The 17,835-nt window shown below is 44.4% G+C and overlaps 1 protein-coding gene and 1 long non-coding RNA gene across 5 annotated transcripts in view, besides 5 other annotated features; one reads left to right on the top strand and one right to left on the bottom strand.

Annotated features, from left to right (window-relative positions):
- Positions 1,944-3,886, bottom strand: LOC124902711 (uncharacterized). Its single transcript, XR_007062775.1, has 2 exons — positions 3,804-3,886; positions 1,944-3,307 (listed from the first exon to the last, which is right to left on the bottom strand). It is a non-coding gene; the product is annotated as an uncharacterized LOC124902711 (long non-coding RNA).
- Positions 3,363-3,552: a silencer, noted in NCBI's record as "silent region_3748". NCBI's record gives its function as "represses an Ori minimal core promoter by ATAC-STARR-seq in GM12878 lymphoblastoid cells {active_cell/tissue: GM12878}" and the evidence as "EXISTENCE:reporter gene assay evidence [ECO:0000049][PMID:35858748]".
- Positions 3,713-4,022: a silencer, noted in NCBI's record as "silent region_3747". NCBI's record gives its function as "represses an Ori minimal core promoter by ATAC-STARR-seq in GM12878 lymphoblastoid cells {active_cell/tissue: GM12878}" and the evidence as "EXISTENCE:reporter gene assay evidence [ECO:0000049][PMID:35858748]".
- The window catches only part of RAB6A (RAB6A, member RAS oncogene family), an 85,437-nt gene continuing 71,571 nt past the window's right edge, over positions 3,970-17,835 (top strand). For 3 of the 4 annotated variants that reach the window (NM_001243718.2, NM_198896.2, NM_002869.5), the window contains exon 1: positions 3,970-4,478. In NM_001243718.2, the coding sequence (NP_001230647.1) occupies positions 4,409-4,478 (70 nt within the window). In that variant the 5' untranslated portion in view covers positions 3,970-4,408. Of the gene's footprint in view, positions 4,479-4,948; positions 4,997-17,835 lie in introns of those variants that run through there. The other variant, NM_001243719.2, reaches the window with a different exon arrangement.
- Positions 4,319-4,819: an enhancer, noted in NCBI's record as "H3K27ac hESC enhancer chr11:73471270-73471770 (GRCh37/hg19 assembly coordinates)". NCBI's record gives its function as "activates a minimal SCP1, AML or CMV promoter by ChIP-STARR-seq in naive H9 embryonic stem cells {active_cell/tissue: H9 hESC(naive)}" and the evidence as "EXISTENCE:reporter gene assay evidence [ECO:0000049][PMID:30033119]".
- Positions 13,498-13,998: an enhancer, noted in NCBI's record as "H3K4me1 hESC enhancer chr11:73462091-73462591 (GRCh37/hg19 assembly coordinates)". NCBI's record gives its function as "activates a minimal SCP1, AML or CMV promoter by ChIP-STARR-seq in naive H9 embryonic stem cells {active_cell/tissue: H9 hESC(naive)}" and the evidence as "EXISTENCE:reporter gene assay evidence [ECO:0000049][PMID:30033119]".
- Positions 13,999-14,499: an enhancer, noted in NCBI's record as "H3K4me1 hESC enhancer chr11:73461590-73462090 (GRCh37/hg19 assembly coordinates)". NCBI's record gives its function as "activates a minimal SCP1, AML or CMV promoter by ChIP-STARR-seq in naive H9 embryonic stem cells {active_cell/tissue: H9 hESC(naive)}" and the evidence as "EXISTENCE:reporter gene assay evidence [ECO:0000049][PMID:30033119]".

Below are 17,835 nucleotides of genomic sequence, written 5' to 3'. Positions count from 1 at the left end.
ATGGGCAGATCATCTAAGGTCGGGGGTTCGAGACTAGCCTGACCAACATGGAGAAACCCCATCTCTAGTAAAAATACACAATTAGCTGGGCGTGATGGCACATGCCTGTAATCTCAGCTACTCAGGAGGCTGAGGTGGGAGAATTGCTTGAACCCGACAGGCGGAGGTTGCGGTGAGCCGAGATCACGCCATTGCACTCCAGCCCGGGCAACAAGAGCAAAACTCTGTCTCAAAAAAAAAAAAAAAAAAAAAATTCAGTCCTCCTGCAAGAAGTTTTGTGTCTCTCAGGGCAGAAGATAAGCTATAATTTTATTACAATTTCTGTGTGATAGATTCCCTACATACTCCTGGGCTTCAATTTAGATATGACCTTTAAATAGATAATGAAAGCTGCTTTAGGTACTTTGAATTTGGAGCTGTGAAGACTGTCCTCTCCCATTGTTCCTAATTTTTAGTTACAAGATCTGTTCTCAGCATCTTTTTCATAAGTAATGGTTTAGGAAAGAAGTATCAAATTACATGACATATTTTTGGGTAATGTTCTCTTTCTCCAAAATGCTCTTAACCTTCCTTCTCTGCATGCCCAAATCCCATTCATCCTTTGAAGACAGTGAAAAATAATTCCTCTTTTATTTGATTTTGTCAGCAAACATCTGCTGCATGCTTACTATGTAGCAAGCACTCTTCAAGCACTGGGGATACAAGATGAGATCTGACCTCGTGGAGGTTACAGTCAAGTAGGGAACACTGACAATGAACAGCAATTAAGAATAGGATACAATAGGACAGGCAAAGGTACTTATACTGTTAGTGGGGATGGGAGCAGATGGGAGCAAGACTTGTGTGGTAGACTGAATGTTTGTGTCTCCCCAAAATTCATATGTTGAAACTATAGTCCCCAATGTGATGGTATTAGTAGGTGGGACCCTAGGGAGGTGATTAGGTCATGAGGGTGGAGTGCTCATAAATGGGATTAGTTCCCTTGTAAGAGGGAGCCCAGAGAGCTTTCTTGCTCTCTTTCTGCCATGTGAGGGCACAGTGAGAAGATGGTTGTCTATGAACCAGGAAGTGGGCCTTCACCAGACACAGTATCTTCTGGTACCTTGCTCTTGGACTTTCCAGTCTCCAGCTGTGAGAAATAAACATTTGTTGTTTAAGCCACCCAGTCATGGTATTCTGTTATAGCAGCCTGAATGGACAAAGACAACTTCTTTAAGTGGTAAGTGATTTAAAAGAAAAAAAAAAAAAGACAATTTCTTTAACTGAAGGATGAGTAGGAATTGGGGAAGAGTGGGGAAGGGAGGGGAAGAGTGTTTGCAGTAAAGAGAAGTGAGCGTAGGAAATCATGAAGGTGAAAATGTTGGTGAAAATACTCTTGAAAAGGGCCTCTCTAATTCCTCTTTCTCCTGAGTAATTTTTCCATTTGCTATACCCTACAGCACTTAATATGCAATGTTTAGGCCATAAAGTCTCTGAAGACAAAACTTACACAGAGTACTTGGTAATATGAAGGCAGCTTCAGAGGATAATGAGGCTGTGTATGTGTCAATGCAAAATGAAAGCTTAAAACATTAAAACATTTTAGGTAAGAGGTGGACTAGACCATAAGGCCCTTCAAAATGACAGGGAACAGTACCACCTGTCTAGGTGACTACAGAGACCAAAGCAGCAGGGAGGACTGATTCATAAAGTTCTGTAGGAAGTACAAAGTAATTATAGTTCCAATCCTCAGATGTTACTTTAAAGTCTATTTCAGGAAGCATAATGAAAACTTGGTACCCATCAGAAAGAAAATAGCTACTCACTTTTGTTTGCATAATCTTTTTAAAAAGTTTCTTGGTTTAAGCTGCTCTTTGTATGTGCCAGGGTTCTGGGTTAATGGTGGAGAGGACCCTATTAGATCTGACAAACTACTTGTAAAATCAAATGTCCATGCTACAAGCCAGGTTTTTACCATTTTATTTTAGATGCATGTTCTACCTGCACATGGCTGGGAGAGGAACCAGAAGGGAGTAAATTTTGATAGAGATGGTTTGAGGATATAGCTGTTGTCTTGATAGGCCAGAATAGATGATATTTTAAGAACTTTGGTTCTTCCCTGTAATTTATTCTAGGTCAGCAATTCATCCCTGGGCCTGAGAAGGCACTTTTTCAATCCTGTCATTTCTACAGCTAAGCAAATAACTCCCCAATAATGAGAAAAAGTACATAAATGTTTTGTGAATGATATACACAAATGATATACATTTGTGTATAGACACAAATGTAAGGACATATTTTTTATTATTCACTTAGAAAGTTTTTTTGTTTTTTTTTTTTTTTTTTAAGACAGGGACTTGTTCTGTCACCCAGATTTCAGTGTAGTGGTGCCATACCTCAGCCTCCAACTCCTGGACTCAAGCAATCCTTCTGCTTCAGGCTCCTGAGTAGCCGGAACTACAGGAGCACACCACGATATTCGGCTATTTTATTTTTTGTAGAGATAGTGTCTTGCTTTGTTGCCCAGCCTGGTCTCGAACTCCTGGGCTCAAGCGATTCTACCGCCTCGGCCTCCCAAAGTGCTGGGATTACAGACGTGAGCCACCGCGCCCAGCTGCTTTATGGATTTTTTTTTTTGGAGACAGAGTCTCGCTCTTGTTGCCCAGACTGGAGTGCAATGGTGTGACCTTGGCTCACTGCAACCTCCGCCTCCCGTGTTCAAGCGATTCTCCTGCCTCAGCCTCCCAAGTAGCTGGGATTACAGGCACCCGCCACCACACCACGTTAATTTTTTGTATTTTTAGTAGAGATGGGGTTTCATCATGTTGGCCAAGGCTGGTCTGGAACTCCTGACGTCAGGTGATCCACCCAACTCAGCCTTCCAAAGTGCTGGGATTACAGGGATGAGCCACCACGCCCGGCTTTTTTTTTTTTTTTTTTTTTTTTTTTCTGTTGAGATGGAGTCTCGCTCTGTCGCCAGGCTGGAGTGCAGTGGTGTGATCTCGGCTCACTGCAACCTCCGCCTCCCGGGTTCAAGCGATTCTCCTGCCTCAGCTTCCCGAGTAGCTGGGACTACAGGCGCGCGCCACCACCCCCAGCTAATTTTTGCATTTTTAGTAGAGACAGGGTTTCACCATGTTGGCCAGGATGGTCTCGATCTCTTGACCTCGTGATCCACTCGCCTCCGCCTCCCAAAGTGCTGGGATTACAGCCGTGGGCCACCGCGCCCAGCCCGCTTTATGGATTTTGCAAGTCATTTACTCCCTCTAAGCTTCAGTTTCCTCATCTGCAAAATTGGGAGGCCATGATTCTGGCAGTTATAACATTCCTGGGAGCAATGGAGGAGAATGTTATTTAGTAAGATGCCTGTGAGGAATTATGATGAGAGGATGGAGAAGGTGGGGTGTGTGCAATGGTGAAGAAGGGATCTGAGGACTGTGAGGCACGGCTGAGGGCTCAGGAAAGAGGCTCCCATTACAAATTTTAAGGCTATAGGACCCCACCCACACTTTTTGGGGGATCATATTCCACCTTTGTCCCGGCCCCGCCTCCGCCCCACCCTTCTCCCCCTCCCCTTTCTTTCCTTCCCCTCCCCTCAGGCTGAGAGGCGCCACACTTCTTATGGCCGCCACAGTGCTCCGCTTTCCACAGCTCGAGGGCTGCGCGCGCTCTCACGCTGCCACCTCACTCGCGTGTGGGCTCGCCCTCAGCCCCTTCCGATTGGCTCATTATGTAAGTGACGTAAGGGCTCCAGCCTCCCACTAACTTATCCCTGGCTTGCCCCGCCTCCTCCTGGCTTCTTTTGACGCCAGTGGAAACCTAACCTGCCCCGTCGCCGCCGTGCGGGAGGAGCCGGTAGAGCTGTCCAAACCAGGAAGGCGATGGCGATGGCGGTGGCGCGCACGCATGCACGCACGCACGCACGCCAGCGGCCGGCGGGGCCGCAGGCTCGCGCCCGGGCTCGCCCCGCGCCGCTCCAGAGGCTCGCGCACTCAGCAGGTTGGGCTGCGGCGGCGGCGGCAGCTGTGGAAGCTCAGGCGCTGCGCGTGAGAGGTCCCAGATACGTCTGCGGTTCCGGCTCCGCCACCCTCAGCTTCTCTTCCCCAGGTCTGGGAGCCGAGTGCGGAAGGAGGGAACGGCCCTAGCTTTGGGAAGCCAGAGGACACCCCTGGCTCCTGCCGACACCGCCCTCCTTCCCTTCCCAGCCGCGGGCCTCGCTCGGTGCTAGGCTACTCTGCCGGGAGGCGGCGGCGGCTGCCAGTCTGTGGAGAGTCCTGCTGCCCTCCAGCCGGGCTCCTCCACCGGGCCTTGCAGGGGCCGAGAGAGCTCGGTGCCCGCCCTTCCGCTCGCCTTTTTCGTCAGCTGGCTGGAGCAGCATCGGTCCGGGAGGTCTCTAGGCTGAGGCGGCGGCCGCTCCTCTAGTTCCACAATGTCCACGGGCGGAGACTTCGGGAATCCGCTGAGGAAATTCAAGCTGGTGTTCCTGGGGGAGCAAAGCGGTGAGTGCGTGGCTCCCCTACTCCTGGCAGCTGGCCGCAGCGTCCCCGCACCGCCCCCGGTGCGGCCCTTCCGTCCGCGGAGGCTCCCTGCCCGCCTCGCGTCCGCGCTCGTTGCCACCGCAGCCCTTCCCGATGTGCCCCCCGGTGCCACTGGCTCTTCGCCAGTGGCCGAGTTTTTACCCTGTTCCCCGGGTTCTTCAATCCTCGACTCCCCGGCTCCGTTCCCCGCAGTCCGGCCATCTCCGGTCGATCTGCCCTCCCTCCCCAGACCTCACCCCGCCCAGCCTCTTGTCCATCCCTTTCTTCCTCCGGTCTCGGTCATTGCCCGTACCCCGGCCCCCTTTCTTGAGCCCCACCCTTATTCCTTGCTCTTTTCCCAGTTCCTCAGCTCTGTGAGGCCCACTCAGGGAAGCCCCACTCCCGAGAGCGGGCCCTCTTCAACCTTGGCCAAGGAGGGTGGGATCTGGGCGTTGTTTTCCCCAGAGGCTTGGCCCTGCGAAGTGCTGATGTCGTGGAAGGTGGGAAGGGGTGGTAGTAGAAAAAATTAAATGATTTTCACCTGGGTGGGAAATTAGTCTGGGCCATAGAGGAAACATCTGAATTGGAGACGACTTGAGCATGGGGTGGTTGGGGGTGAAAGGGGTAGCGTCGGCAGTGGAGATTTTTGCCCCTTAGGTTAGATGGGGCTGTGGCTTGTCGGAAAACCTCATTTTGTTCTCTTGACTTTCATCACTGACAATTCTTTTGGCAATGTTGATGATTTTTCAATCTCTGCCAGATGCTATGTCATGATCATTTTACTTGGAATTTTTCTCATCTCACCTCCCCTTTTTCTCTTTTCAACATGAAGCAGCGTCTGAGTCTCATGGTGGTACAAAAGGGAATTACTGGGGAAATGTTAATTATTCATTCCTTCTTGAGTATTTTCCAATGATATATTGAGGATTCATGTGAGAGAAGGCTTGGAATAACAAACATCTTTGTTTTGTCGGATTTCCTTTGGAAAATGGAGTAGAGTAGGAACAGACTCATCATCTAGTTACCTAAATTAGATTTAAATACCATTTGGGCTAAATAATTCTTTTATGCTTAATATTCTGTACTGTCTGATGAGTGAAATTGTTATGTCATTTACCTGGTCAGGTTCTGCTGTCACTGTACTTTTGTATTAGATACTAGATCCTAATTTTGTGATGGTTGTATCTACGATTACTTCTTGTAGTAATTCCAGTTTTATGCTGTATTATACAAACTTGACACTCGACAATTCAGAGATGATTACCCTCCTTTGTTTTTCTCATACTTTGCATGCCCATCTTTAAAATTCAGACATTGAGAGATTAGTTCTGAGTCATCAAACATTGAGTACCTACTAGGTGTTTTAGGTGAGGTTATAGAAAACATTAGTTATTTGTTTTGACTGGAAGGCATGTAAGTGATATAAATTCGTAGCTTTTATTACTACTTTGAACTATTTATACTAATTTGTATGCCATCACAGAGGTTAATACTCTTGCAAAATTGCCTCCAGTTAGAACTGGGAAATCATTTTTCTCCTTTCATGTGTAGATTATCTTCCCCTCCTCCCTTTTGGGGGGAAAAATACAATCTCCCTCCTTTTTGCTTATATATTTTCCTGAAGTAAGTATAAACTTGTGTCTTTAGGTGAGTAACTTGGTAGAACCTATGGAGTTGCTTCTAGTCCAGCTTTTCTGTGTCAATATCAGGATAGTTCCCAAACATAAAATATAGTTTATTGGTTATTATTGATAAAAAGGATCCAAAGTGCTTATTGTGCATTCTAAGGATATTATTGCCTTCCTTATGTTGTGATGCACAGCTATTTAGTTTGCATGAAAAAACCTATTCATCTTCCTGCCTAAAAAGGTTTTAGCATGAATGGAGTGCTTAACTTCCTAAGTATCTTCAGGTTTCCTTTGAATTTCTTGAGTATTTGTGTATGTTCTAATGCATAATGGAGAGTTTTATGGCTTCTAATTTCGTACCTTGTTTAAGCCTCTACTACCCTCCCCCCTCCATTACTGAAGCCTGGTTAGATTTTTTTTAATAGACTTCATTTTTTAGAACAGTTTTAGACTTACAGAAAAATTGAAAAGATAGTGTAGAGTTCCCATATACCCACACATCTAGTTTCCCCTGTTATCAACATCTTGCATTAGTATGGCACATTTGTTAACAATTAATGAACTAATATTGATATGTTATTATTAACTTAAGTCCATAGTTTATTTAGATTTTTAGTTTTAACCTAATGTCCTTTTTCTGTTTCAGCATTCAATTCAGGATGTGAAGTTAATTATCTTTTGAGGTTACTATATTGTCAAGTAATGCCATTCATTAGCTTTGACAATGAAAGATTGATCTCTGTTTTCATGGTCAGTGTCTATAGTTTTCTTATGCGTTAGAAGTCTGTAGACTCCATGTCCTTTTGATGTAACTCTTCATGAATTATTTATTTTTAGGTCTGTTAGAATTCCACAATTCAGCTTTCAAAGACTGTAATCTATGGCAAAGCCTTGTTTCTTCTTAATAGCATTTACCACATTTACAATTATCTTATTTTTTATGTGTTTGTTTTTATTTCCCACAGAAGAATGCAACTCCCATGAAGATAAAAACTATTCTTTTTTGTTCAGTGTGTCCCCATTGCCTAGCGTAGAGCCAGGCTCATAGTAGCTGTTCAGACATGTTGGGTAAATGAATGATGGCTGAATCTAGTAGTAACGAAAGCTAGTAGCCTATGTTACACTCTTTGACATGGTTACGCAATTGATAGTTTAACAATAACACTTAAAACTTACATCATTTGATTGTATACAGGAATATATCAGATACTTAAGGGGGTAGAGAAACCAATCGTTTAGAGGCCCAACCATTTCATTCAAAAAATAGGACTGACCTGAATTTTGTACTTTTTTTTGAGTTGAGCAAAATTCGTCTTCCTTTATTAAAGTTGTTAAATTATTTGCTATTAATGTAACGCATGAAAAGTATTCAAATTATACCAATGATGTGCTCATGGAACTGATTTGAAATTAGGTTTTATTTGGCTTATCAAAAATTTAAGATACTAGGCTGGGTGCGGTGGTTCATGCCTGTAATCCCAGCACTTTGGGAGGCTGAGATAGGTGAATCATCTGAGGTCAGCAGTTCAAGACCAGCCTGGCTAACATGGTGGAGTCCCCGGCTCCCCCCCACCCCATGGCCCGGTCTCTACAAAAATACAAAAATTATCCAGGTATGATGGCGGGTGGGAGCCTGTAATCCCAGCTACTCAGGAGGCTGAGGCAGGAGAATCGCTTGAACCTGAGAGGCGGAGGGTGCAGTGAGCTGAGATCATGCCATTGCACTGCAGCCTGGGTGACAGAGTGAGACTCTGTCTCAAGAAAAAAAAAAAAAAAAAAAAAAAAAAAAATATATATATATATATATATATATATATATATGTATGTATATTTAAGATACTACGCTCTATAGTGAAAATGAATTGTGTCAGTACATGAAGCAGATTGAGTTAATGACATCAATCTTAACCTTAGATAAATTCTTACGGTTTAATAAAGGAATGTTTGGCTGGGCGTGGTGGCTCACGCCTGTAATCCCAGCACTTTAGGAGTCCGAGGCAGGCAAATCACCTGAGGTCAGGAGTTCAAGACCAGCCTGGCCAACATGGCAAAATCCCATCTCTACTAAAAATCCAAAAACTAGCTGGGCGTGGTGGCGTGTGCCTGTAATCCCAGCTACTCAGGAGGCTGAGGCAGGAAAACTGCAACCCAGGAGGTGGAGGTTGCAGTGAACTGAGATTGCCCCACTGCACTCCAGCCTGGGCCTCAGAGCGAGACTTTGTCTCTAAATAAATAAATAAAGGAATGTTGAAATACACAATTGGAAGTTTCCTTGAGGAGTCTGTTTTGTTACTACCTCTGGCTATTGTCTTGAGATGCAGAGGCAGTTTTAGTAATGTCACTCAGTGGTTTACAGTAGAAGATTTCACTATATATACATGTTACCAATTATAAATTAGGAGATGTAATGGCAGAGAGAAGCGCATACTCAGCCTACTACTGTTTTTTTCACTTTATATTGCCTTTTCTTTTTTTCCATCAATGCTGATCAAATTGCAATATGTTAGATAAGGAAAAAATGTCTTATTGTCAGAGACTAGCAGTACTGACCAGTTGTTTTTCTTTTGAGACGGGGTCTACCTCTGTCACTCAGGCTGGAGTGCAGTGGTGTGATCTCAGCTCACTGCACCCTCCACCTCCCAGGCTCAAGTGATCCTCCCACCTCAGCCTCCCAAGTAGCTGGGACAACAGGCACGCACCACCACGCCTGGCTAATTTTTGTATTTTTTTGTAGAGATGGGATTTTACCATGTTGCCCAGGCTGGTCTCAAAGTTTTGAGCTGGCGAGATCCTCCGGCCTCAGCCTCCCAAAGTGCTGGGATTACAGGTGTGAGCCACCACGCCTGGCCAGTACTGAACATTTTATATTGGCTAGATCAGTGGTTTTTAAACTTTTTTTCCCCAAGACCCCTTTCTGCTCTTACAAATTTTTGAGGATCCTGAAGAGCTCTGTTAATGTAGTTGTTATTGTTGTTCTTCTTCCTCCTCCTCCTCTTCTTTCTCCTCCTCCTCTTCTTCCTCCTCCTCTTCCTTCTCCTCCTCCTCTTGTTCTTCTTCCTCCTCCTCCTCTTCTTTCTCTTCCTTCCCCCTTCTCCCTTCCTTCCCCCTTTCCACCTCCCCCTTCCTTTCCTTTTCTCCCTTCCTTCCTCCTTTCCTCTTCCCATTTCCTTCCCCCTTCTTGGATGCAGTGACTGTTCACAGGGGCTATCATGGCCAACTGCAGCCTTGTCTCAAGCTCTCCTCCTGCCTCAGCCTCCCTAGTAGCTGGGACTATAGGCACATGCCACTGTGCCTGACTTTTGTTTATGTAGTTTATGTCAACATTTAGGCCGGGTGCGGTGGCTCACGCCTATAATCCCAGCACTTTGGGAGGCCGAAGTGGGTGGATCACCTGAGGTCAGGGGTTCGAGACCAGCCTGGGCAACATGGCGAAACCCCGTTTCTACTAAAAATACAAAATTAGCCGGGCATGGTGGTGCGTGCCTGTAGTCCCAGCTCTTCGGGAGGCTGAGGCAGGAGCATTGCTTGAACTCGGGAGGTGGAGGTTGCAGTGAGCCAAGATCGTGCCACTGCGCTCCAGCCTGGGCAACAGAGTGAGGCTCCATCTCAAAATAAATGAATAAATATATCAACATTTACTGTATTGAAAAAGAAAATTTCAAAATATTTAATATGTTAAAAAATAATAGGGCCGAGCGTGGTGGCTCATGCTTGTAATCCCAGCATTTTGAGAGGCCGAGGTGGGCGGATCACTTGAGGCCAGAAGTTTGAGACCAACCTGGCCAATATGGTGAAACCCCGTCTCTACTAAAAATACAAAGAAATTAGCCTGGCATGGTGGTGGACGGTCCCAGTGGTAGTGCCAGCTACTCAGGAGGCTGAGGCAGGAGAGTCCCTTGAACCCGGGAGGTGGAGGTTGCAGTGAGCCAAGATCACGCCATTGCACTCCAGCCTGGGCAACGAGCAAAACTCCATCTCAAAAAAATAATAATAATAATAATAAACCCATTGCATGTTAATACCCTTTTTTTTTTTGACTGCATCCCTCTGTTGCCCAGGATGGAGTGAGTGCCTCCCGGGTTCGCGATTCTCATGCCTCAGCCTCCTGAATAGCTGGGACCACAGGTACATGCCGCCATGCCTGGCTAATTTTTTGACTTTTTAGTAGAGACAGGGTTTTGCTATATTGGCCAGGCTGGTCTCAAACTCCTGGCCTCAAGTGACCTGCTTGCCTTGGTCTCCCAAAGTGCTGGGATTACAGGCATGAGCCACTGTGCCCAGCCTTCATGTTAACATCATTTCTGAAATGAAAAAGAACTATTTTCCAAACAGATATTTAGTGAGAGTGACATTGTTTTACATATTTGCAAATCTCTTTAATGTCTGACTTAATAGAGGACAATTGGATTTGCATAGCTGCTTATGCATTCAATCCTGTAATATTACACATCATATAGGCACGGGGAAACTCCACAATACATTTCAAGAGAGTAAGAGTGAAAAATTCAAATAACATCTTAATCTTATGAAAATGGTTTTGACATCCAGGAGTTTGTGGACCTCCCCAAAGGTCTTGGGAGATCCTAAGGGGTCAGTAGACCACTCTTTGTAAACTGCTGGGTTAGGTAATATCAAGTCAATTGTATCTCCTGTTATAATGTTGCCAGTTTTTCATATCTTGTTCTGAAGCCTTAAAACTGCGTGGTACATACAGTTAATGATTTAGAGCACTAGAGGACTGGTAGAGATGGAGAGTAAGAGTCTAGGTTTCATGTTTTAGCAGTGGCTACTGACCTTTGGCAGATTACTCAACATGTCTTTATGCCCCATTTTTCCTTATCTATAACATAAAGATAATAGACCTATCATAGAGTTATTGTGACATTTAAACTAGTCAAATAATGCAAAACATTTAGAAGAGTGCTGGGCACATGAGAAGTGCTCAGAAAGTGTTTTAATTTAACAAATCTTTATTGAAAATTGCTACAGTGTCAGGTGGTTTGGTAGTGCTTACTTTTAAGGAATTTACGTTTTATCAGGGAAGAAATACACAATACTTAATACAATATAGCATGATGAGTGCCACTGCTTTTAAAAGTAGAGCTAAGGCTGGGCGTGGTGGCTCACGCCTGTAATCCCAGCACTTTGGGAGGCCTAGGTGGGCAGATCACTTGAGGTCTGGAGTTTTTTTGTTTTTTTGTTTTTTTTTCAGACGGAATCTCGCTCAGTCACCGAGGCTGGAGTGCAGTGGCGCAATCTCGGCTCACTGCAAGCTCTGCCTCCCGGGTTCATGCCATTCTCCTGCCTCAGCCTCCGGAGTAGCTGGGACTACAGGCGCCCGCCACCATGCCCGGCTAATTTTTTGTACTTTTAGTAGAGACGGGGTTTCACCGTGTTAGCCAGGATGGTCTCGATCTCCTGACCTCGTGATCTGCCTGCCTCGGCCTCCCAAAGTGCTGGGATTACAGGCATGAGCCACTGTGCCCGGCGAGGTCTGGAGTTGGAGACTAGCCTGGCCAACATGGTGAAACCCTGTCTCTACTAAAATACAAAAAATTAGCTGGGCATGATGGCGTGCATCTGTAATCCCATCTCAGGAGGCTGAGGCAGGAGAGTCACTTGAGCCCGGGAGGCAGAGGTTGCAGTGAGTGGCCATGTTGGCCAGGTTAGTCTTGAACTCCTTGCTGTCTCACCCAGGCTACAGTACAGGGGTGCCATTATAGCTCACTGCAGCCACGAGCTCCTGGGCTCAAGTGATCCTCCCACCTCAGCCTCTGGAGCTGTTGGGATTAGAGGCATTCGCCATTGCGCTCGGCTGATTAAAAAAAATTTTTTTAGCAAACGAGGTCTTGCTGTGTTGCCAGGCTGCTTTCCAACTCCTGGCCTCAAGTGATTCCCGCCTCAAGCTCCTGACTCTGGAATTACAGGCATGCACCACCTCACCTGGCTTGGACTTTTTATTAGACTTCCTGATTTTATTTCATCTGGTCTCTTTCATTTCCTTAAGCTTCTGTTTTAATTCTCATAAGATTTTTCTCAACTTTCTTCCATTTTTTTATTATTTTTTTCTGCTATCATTTTAATTTTTTTTTTCTTTTTTTTGAGCTGGAGTCTTACTCTGTCACCCAGGCTTGAGTGCAGTGGTGCAATCTCAGCTCACCGCAACCTGTGCCTTCCAGGCTCAAGTGATCCTCCCACCTCGGCCTCTTGAGTAGCTGGAACCACAAGCATGCGCCACCAAGGCCGGCTATTTTTTGTATTTTTGGTAGAGATGGCGTTTTGCCATGTTGCCCAGGCTCATCTCGAATTCCTGAGCTCATGCGATCTGCCTGGCCTCGGTCTCCCAGAGTGCTAGGATTACAGGCATGAGCCACCGTGCCAGTTCTTATCATTTTAATTTCAAAGAGTGTTTTTGTTCATCTTCTGAATGTTCCTTTCTGTAGCATCTGTGTTTTTGTTTTTTTGAGACAGAATCTTGCCCTGTCACCCCGGCTGGAGTGCAATGGTGCAATCTTGGCTTACTCCAACCTCTACCTCCCGGGTTCAAACGATTCTCATACCTCAGTCTCCTGAGTAGCTGAGATTACAGGCATCTGCCACCATACCTGGCTAATTTTTGTATTTTTAGTAGAGACGTGATTTCACTGTTTGTCAGACTGGTCTCGAACTCTTGACCTTCAGTGATCTGCCCCCTTGGCCTCCCAAAGTGCTGGGATTACAGGTGGGAGTCACCACACCCAGCCTTCTGTAGCATCTTTTTAATTCCCAATTTTTACCTTTTCTTGTCATTTTGAAGATGTTAATAAGATACATGACTTTTTTCTTCCTGCATATTTAGTTTTTGTAAATTGTTTTTCATCTCTGCTTGTTTTAGTTTCTCTATTTCCTGTTTGATGTGGTCCTCAAAAAACTAGTGTTTCTTGGCTATTTGCTTCTATTTAAGAGGTGAGCACTGAGAGTTGTGTTTTTGTTTTTGTTTTTTATGCTCTTGTGTGGGTTTGTGGGTCTTTACTGCAGAATGATCTTGCTGAGTTCCTTTTTGGGAGTCTCTGATGTTAGGTCTTTAAGTCTTTTTGCTGGTCAGATTCCCTGAAGAAGAATTACTCAGTGCACTGCTGGAGAGAATCTTGGTTGTCAGTGTTCTTGGAGGTGAATGGAGAGAGGGTTTGAAGTCATAACATACAGTAAATGCATTTAGTCTCCTTGCTTTTAATATTGTTTGTACTCTATCCCTCAGCTGTACCTTGTAATCCCTAGTACAGAAACCCCGTTTTTCTTTCTCAGCAGCATTATCTTCTAATTTTCAGCTGTGTTGAACAGAAGAGGGAATAGAAGAGAGTGTTAATCTACTTGTTAAATAGACTTTCATCCCTTCCTTCTGTTTTTAGCTCCATCTTTACCTTTATTTCTAGATGTACTTGGCCCAGACAATTCCTAAGTCAATGGGGGTTCTGTGGTCCAAATCAGCTTTCTCAGCTTTCCCCATTGTCGGTTTAAAATTGATCATTATTGAGTCTTTTAGGTCAATTACTACTTTTCCATTTGCTTTCTACTTTCTAACTTGGATGATTCAGATTTTCCGAGAACCAACACTTAATACTTGCTTAGGGTTGGTTAGTTGGTTTGTTTTTTGAGACGGGGTCTTTCTGTGTTGCCCAGGCTGGAGTGCAGTCCATTCACAGGCATGATTATAGCGTACTACAGCCCGGAACTCCTGGCTCAAGTGATCCTCCTGCCTCAGCCTCCTGAGTAGCTGGGACTATAGAGTCAGGCCAGTGAGCCTGACTCTTTTCTTTTTTAAAAGTACACTTTGGCCGGGGGGCATGGTGACTCACACCTGTAATCCCAGCACTTTGGGACACTAAGGCGGGAGGATTGCTTGAGGCCAGGAGTTGGAGACCAGCCTGGGCAACATAGTGAGACCCTATCTTTACAAAAAATTAAAAAAATTAACCAGGTGTGGTGTCACATGCCTGTAGTCCCAGCTACTTGGGAGGCTGGCTTGAGCATAGGAGGTTGAGGCTACTGTGAGTCTTGATTGTGTCACCTCACTCTAGCCTGGGAGACAGAGCAAGACCCTGCCTCAAAAAAAAAGTACATTCTATAAAATTAAAACCAACTTATTTACCCCCATACTCATAGTAGCATTATTCATAGTAGCCAAAGGTAGAGGCAAACAAGTATCCATCCACAGATGAATTAATAAACAATATGTGACACATGCATACAATGGAATATTAGCCTTAAAAAGGAAGGAAATCTTGGCCTGGTATGGGGGCTCATGCCTGTAATCCCAACAGTTTGGGAGGCCAAGGCATGAGGATCACTTGAGGCCAGGAGCTTGAGACCAGCTTGGCCAACATGGAGAAACCCCCCCATCTACTAAAAATACAAAAATTTGCTGGGCGCGGTGGCACATGCCTATAATCCCAGCTGCCCTGGAGACTGAGGCACGAGAATTGCTTGAACCTTGAACTGGGAGGTGGAGTTTGCAGTGAGCTGACATCATGCCACTGCACTCCAGCCTGGGTAACAGAGTGCGACTCTGTCTCAAAAGAAAAAAAAAAAAAAGGGAAGGAAATCTGACACATGCTACAATGTGGATGAACTTTGAGGACGTTATGCTAAGTGAAATAAGGCAGTCACAAAAGGACAAATATTTTATGATTTTTAAAATTAATAAGTACTAAATAAACCTCCTTGTTATCCTGTCCGTTGTGAGATTGACTAAACCTTGCCAAAACATCCTGACAAACTTTACTTTTGAGATGAAATCCAAACTCTCTTGTCTAAGTTAAACCCTTTCATGGTCTGACGTCTACCTTCGTATCTCTCACTTACTTCTAACACTCATCTTTACCTGTTATTATAAGGCAGATTTAAAAAAAATATTTTTTAAAATTTGTGTTAAAAATGTTGTAATTAGAGGTAAGATCTCACTATGTTGCCCAGGCTGGCCTTGAACTCCTGAGCTCAAGTGATTCTCCTGCCTCAGCCTCCTGAGTAGCTGGGACTACAGGCATATGACACCATACCCTGCCAGTTTGTTTTTTTCTTACAGTCAGGGTCTTGCTCTGTTACCCAGGCTGGAGAGTAGTGATGTGATCACAGCTCACTGCATCCTCAAACTCCTGGGCTTAAGCAGTCTTCCTGGCTTAGCCTCCCGAGTAGCTAGGACTATAGGCACATACCACCACACCTGGCTAATTTTTAAGTTTTTTCATAGAGATAGATCTTGCTTTGTTGACCAGGGTGGTCTCAAACTCTTGGCCTTGAGCAATGCTCTGGCCTCGAGTGATCCTCTGGCCTCGGCCTCCCAAAAGGCTGAGATTACAGTCATGAGCCACTGAGCCCAGCCTATTTTGGTTTCTTAAATTGTCATTAAGTTGTATACTGTACAACTTTTATTTTTCAGTAGTTTTCGGGGAACAGGTGGTGGGTGTTTGGTTGCATGGAAGAGTTCTTTAGTGGTGATTTATGAGATTTTGGTGCACCCATCACCCGAGCAGTGTACACTCTACCCAGTGTGTATGTAGTCTTTTATCCCTCTCCCACTTCCCTGTGAGTCCCCAAAGTCCATTATCTCATTGTTTTTCCTTTGTGTTCTCATAGCTTAACTCCCGCTTATATAAATGAGAACACACGATGTTTGATTTTCCATTCCTGAGTTACTTCACTTAGTAATGGTCTCCAACTCCGTCCAAGTTGCTGCGAATGCCATTACTTCGTTCCTTTTTATGGCTGAGTAGTAGTCCATGGTAGATGTATACCACATTTCTTTTTTTTCCTTTTTTTAAGATAGAGTCTTTGTCTGTTGTCGAGGCTGGAGTGCAGTGTCGTGATCTCGGCTCACTGCAAGCTTTGCCTTCCGGGTTCAAGAGATTCTCGTGCCTCAGCCTCCCAAGTAGTTGGGATTACAGGCGTATGCTGCCACGCCTGGTTAATTTTTTTATTTTTAGTAGAGACGGGGTGTCATCATATTGGCCAGGCTGGTCTTGAACTCCTTACCTCAATTGATCTGCCCACCTCGGCCTTCCAAAGTGTTGGAATTACAGGTGTAAGCCACCGCGCCCAGCCTAATCCATAATTTTTTAAAGTTAGCTTTGGTAGAATTTTGGGGGGATGAAGGAGGATTCAGAAATAGACAACAGGTATAAATGGCATATTTGAAAAGTGAACTTGTGATTTAACTAAATACTGTGTTTTGGGGTCCTTAAAATATTTTTTGACTCTTCATTATGGAAAAATTTAAATGTATAGAAAAATACGGAGACTAGCATCAGGAGCCCCTGTTAGCTGTTACATAGCTTTAATAATTATTAACTCGTATCTTAATCTTTTTTCATCTATATAGCATTCCCAACCTCTGTACCAAAGTGGGTTATTTTATGTGTCTATTTATTTTTTAGAGACAAGGTCTCACTCTGTCACCTAGGCTGGATTCCAGTGGTGCAGCCATAGCTCACTGTAACCTTGAACTCTTAGGAAAAGTGCGTTATTTTAAAGCAAACTCCACACGTCGTATTGTAACTATTTTGCTATGGCTGCTCAAAGAGGAAGACCTCCTTATTGAAATATTCTTGACATTTATATACATAATTGCTCATAGAGGCCTTTATTTTTGGGATACTGTTCATTCCTTTACACGTTTTTGAGCTTAATATTTCAGGATCTCTATATTAGAGAATTAAAATATCCATGAGTTCATAATCTAAAGAAGTGACAGCTCTTCCTTTAAAAGAATTCCAATTAACAAATACAGACAGAATGAGGTAAATTTAAAAATCACCATTAGAATACCACAGTAATAACTGCTGCAGGTAAGATCCCTTTGATGAATTTTAAAATTGGTGGGCAAAAGTTTGAGAACACAATGTTTGCATCATCTCAAAGTATCTTCCCCAATAGTTATTATTTACAAAGGGAAAAACATTAACTTCAGGGTGAAGAAACACTGTAGACACCACCAATAACCAAGTGATCAAGGTTAACATCGTTAGGAATAAGATAATGGGCCATTATGTATCCTCTGTTATAATGCACTGAGAAAGGCACATCAGTTCTGTGGTAGTTTTGCCAAGAATTCATGGCCTCTGTCTAATCGTGAGAAAACATCAGACAAATCCAAATCGAGGAACATTACATGAAACAACTGACAAGTATTATTTGAAAGTGTCCATGTCATGAAAACAAGGGAAAATGGGGAAAATCTCACATATCAGAGGAGACCAAGGAGACATGACAGCTAAATGCAATGTGGGATCCTGGATGACATCTTGGAACAGAAAAAGGGCATTAGAAAAATGGGTGAAATTCTAAATAAGTTACATAGTTTAGTTAATAACATTATATCACTGTTAATTTCTTAGTTTTGATAATTGTGCTGTGGTTATGTAAGATTTTATCTTAGAGGCTGGCCGGGCATGGTGTCTCACAGCTGTAATTCCCAGCACTTGGGAGGCCGGGGGCGGGGCGGGGGGGGGTTCCGATCACAAGGTCAGGAGTTCGAGACCAGCCTGGCCAACATGGTCTCTACTAAAAATGCAAAGAGTAGCTGGGCATGCTGGTGGGCGCCTGTAATCCCAGCTATGGAGGCTGAGGCAGGAGAATTGCTTGAACCTGGGAGGTGGAGATTGCAGTGAGCCGAGATCGCACCACTGCACTCCAGCCTGGGCGACAGAGCAAGACTCCGTCTCAGAAAAAAAAAAAAA

Source organism: Homo sapiens, chromosome 11 (assembly GCF_000001405.40).
Source record: "Homo sapiens chromosome 11, GRCh38.p14 Primary Assembly".
Classification (NCBI taxonomy): Eukaryota; Metazoa; Chordata; class Mammalia; order Primates; family Hominidae; genus Homo; species Homo sapiens.
Note: the sequence above shows the minus strand (reverse complement) of the source record. Positions and strands in the feature narration are given on the sequence as shown.